Source organism: Homo sapiens, chromosome 11, assembly GCF_000001405.40.
Source record: "Homo sapiens chromosome 11, GRCh38.p14 Primary Assembly".
NCBI lineage: Eukaryota > Metazoa > Chordata > Mammalia > Primates > Hominidae > Homo > Homo sapiens.
The window spans coordinates 66,992,106-66,995,995 of NC_000011.10; the positions used below are offsets into that span (position 1 = coordinate 66,992,106).

Genomic DNA, 3,890 nt, shown 5'->3' on the forward strand with positions numbered 1-3,890 from the left:
GTTGGGAGGGCCAGAAGAAAGGATAGGTGTGTATGTATGTGGGGAGTGGGAGGGAGATAGAAGAGCTAAGCTCTCATCTTCCATAGTAGGAAGTCAATAGATAGTGTCCAAATTTGAAAAACCAAGAAATTGCAATGCAAGCATATAATCTAGAAATACAGAGGTAAATCTCAGAGGAAACACCTCCCAGAGCAGCTGCCCTGGGGGTGGCATGGGATAGGGCCAAGTGCTGCTGGTTTTCTTAAGTCTTCAACTATTTGATTTTTTTTTTGGAAATCAGCTTTCCCAGGTTGAATTCAACTATTTGATTTTGTAAACTAAGCACATAGGTTGCTTTGATAAAAATTTAAATCAGGCTAGGCTCAGAGGCTCATACCTGTAATCCCAGCACTTTGGGAGGCTGAGGCGGGTGGATCACCTGAGGTCGGGAGATCAAGACCAGCCTGGTCAAAGTGGCGAAACCTCGTCTCTACTAAAAATACAAAAATTAGCCAGGCGTGGTGGCTAACACCTGTAGTCCCAGCTACCCAGGAGGCTGAGGCAAGAGAATTGCTTGAACCCAGGAGGCGGAGGTTGCAGTTAGCCAAGATCACGCCATTGTACTCCAGCCTAGGCAACAAGAGTGAAACTCTGTCTCAAAAAAAAAAAAAAATCAAATCAAATCAAATAAAATCAAATAATAGATTTAACATAGATTTATAAATTACTTATGAGGCCATGAATTCGTGGCTGCCAGAATTAGATGTTTTGGAAATAAGTCTTTTAAAGTTCATTTCAAAAGGCAACACAGGGCTGGGCATGGCGGCTCATACCTGTAATCCTAGCACTTTGGAAGGCTGAAGCAGGAGGATCACTTGAGCTCAGGAGTTGTTTTTTTTTTTTTTGAAATTGAGTCTCGCTCTGTTGCCCAGGCTGGAGAGCAGTGGCTCAATCTCGGCTCACTGCAACCTCTGCCTCCCAGGTTCAAGCGATTCTCCTCCCTCAGCCTCCCAAGTAGCTGGGATTACAGGTACCTGCCACCACGCTTGGCTAATTTTTTGTATTTTTAGTAGAGACGGGGTTTCACCATGTTGGCCAAGCTGGTCTCGAACTCCTGACCTTGTGATCTGCCCACCTCGGCCTCCCAAAATGCTGGGATTACAGGCATGCTCAGGAGTTTGAGACCAGCCTGGGCAACATAACAAGACCTCATGTCTACTGCTAAAAAAATAATTAGCTGGGCATGGTGGTGCATGTCTGTAGTCTCAGCTACTGGGGAGGCTGAGACAGGAGGATTGCTTAAGCCTGGGAGATGGAGCTGCAGTGAGCGATTATTATGCCAGTGAACTCCAGCCTGGGGAACTGAGCAGGACTGCGTCTTAAAAGAAAAAAAGCAACACAGGATAATTGGCAAAATTGCAATATGATCTAGATATTAAAGAATAGAATGGTATCACCATTACATTTCCCAAATTTGATGGTTATGTAAGGGAGTTCTTACGAGATGCATGCTGAATGAAGTTTTTAGGGGTGAGGGACATAATGTTTACAACCTATTCTCAAATGATTTTAAGGAAATATATACACATATACACATATTACATATTCATATAAAAGAATGTGAACAATAAAACAAATGTGGCAAAAATTGGTGGATCAAGGTGAAGGGTATATGAGCATACATTGTACTACCCTTGCAACTTTCCGTAGGTATAAATTTTTTTCAAAATAAGTCCGGGCGCAGTGGCTCATGTCTGTAATCCCAGCACTTTGGGAGACCAAGGTGAGTGGATCACCTGAGGCCGGGAGTTCGAGACCAGCCTGACCAATATGGTGAAACCCCATCGCTACTAAAAATATAAAAATTAACGGGGCGTGGTGGCATGCGCCTGTAATCTCAGCTAACCAGGAGGCTAAGGCAGGAGAATCGCTTGAACCTGGGAGGCAGAAGTTGCAGTGAGCCAAGATTGCGCCACTGCACTCCAGCCTGGGCCACAGAGGGAGACCCTGTCTCAGAAAAACAAAAAAACAAAACAAAATAAGAAATTAAGAAAATAAAGCAATATGATAACATCACAAAAAGAGAGGTAGCCAGACAGTATGTACCTCCTGATGGGAGCAACAGTACTATCTATAAAACATGCTTGCCCAAATAAGTCAAGGCTGCGTTTTATCAAGCTTCTAGATCCAACCCCAATTTACAAGAACCCCTGGCGATGGATAAACATATCAAATCACACCATGGGGCTGCAACCAGCAAAATGCAGGTGTGGGGATTCCTACAGGACAAACAGCCCAACTTTTTTTTTTTTTTGAGACAGAGTCTCACTCTCGCTCGCTCTGTCACCCAGGTTGGAGTGCAGCAGCAAAATCTCGGCTCACTGCGACTTCCACTTTCCGGGTTCAAGCGATTCTCCTGCCTCAGCCTCCCGAGTAGCGGGGACTACAGGTGCCCGCCACCACACCTGGCTAATTTTTGTATTTTTAGTAGAGATGGGGTTTCGCTATGTTGGCCAGGCTGATCTCGAACTCCTGACATCTGGTGATCCACCTGTCTCAGCCTCCCAGAGTGCTGGGATTATGGGCATGAGCCACCACGCCCGGCCACTTTATTTCAACAAATAAATTATGAAGAAAAAAGAGAGATGGGAAAGCTCTAGATGAAAAGAAACCTGACCTATTAACCAATTGCATTATTTCTATTTGGATATTAATTCAAACAAACTGCAAAAAAAAAAAAAATAAAGAAAATATTTATGAGACATTTGGAACTTTGAACATTAACTAGAAATTGACCAGATATTTGATATTATAGAACTATTCCTTTTTTTAGGAGCAAAAATGATATAACAATTTATTTTTTCTTTTGAGATGGAGTCTCACTCACTCTGTCATCCAGGCTGGAGTGCAGTAGCACAATCTCGGCTCACTAACCTGCATCTCTTGGGTTCAAGCGAGTCTCGTGCTTCAGCCTCCCAAGTAGCTGGGATTACAGGTGTGCATCACCATGCCCGGCTAACTTTTTTTTTTTTTTTTGAGACAGAGTCTTGCTCTGTCGCCCAGGCTGGAGTGCAGTGGCGCGATATTGGCTCACTGCAACCTCTGTCTCCCAGGTTCAAGCAATTCTCCCTCAGCCTCCTGAGTAGCTAGAACTACAGGCACGTGCCACCAAGCCCAGCTAATTTTTGGATTTTCTGTAGAGACAGGGTCTCACCATGTTGGCCAGGCTGGTCTTGAACTTCTGACCTCGTGATCCACCCGCTTTGGCCTCCCAAAGTGCTGGGATTACAGGCGTGAGCCACCGTGCCTGGCCTAATTTTTGTATTTTTAGTAGAGACAGGGTTCACCATGTTGCCCAGGCAGTTCTCAAACTCCTGACCTCAAGTGATCCACCTACCTCAGCCTACCCAAGTGCTGGGACTACAAGTGTCAGCCACAGCATCTGGTCTATTTTTTCTTCTTAAAAAATGTTTTGCTTTATATGTTCAGAGAAACTTCTTTAGTAATAAACTATAGAAATGATCCTTGAAAGTACAGTCCTTATTTATTCCTAAAAAAATTTTTTTTGCTTGGTATAATATTTATGCTGAGGCCAGGCACGGTGGCTGATGTCTGTAATCCTAGCACTTTGGGAGCCCAAGGCGAATGGATCACGAGGCCGGGAATTCAAGACCAGCCTGGCCAATATGGTGAAACCCCATTTCTACTAAAAATACAAAAATTAGCCGGGTGTGGTGGCAAGCGCCTGTAGTCCCAGTTACTCAGGAGGCTAAGGCAGAAGAATCGCTTGAACCCAGGAGGCAGAGGTTGCAGTGAGCCGAGATCGCGCCACTGCACTCCAGCCTGGGTGACAGAGCGAGACTCCGTCTCAAAAAAAAAAAAAAAAAAAAGTTACGCTGATAAAAGACTCC

The 3,890-nt window shown here is 44.5% G+C and overlaps 1 pseudogene; it reads right to left on the bottom strand.

Moving 5' to 3' along the window:
• Positions 1 to 3,372: 3,372 nt before the first annotated feature.
• On the bottom strand, positions 3,373 to 3,520 carry LOC124902849 (uncharacterized; annotated as a pseudogene).
• Between the last annotated feature and the right edge of the window lie 370 nt (positions 3,521 to 3,890).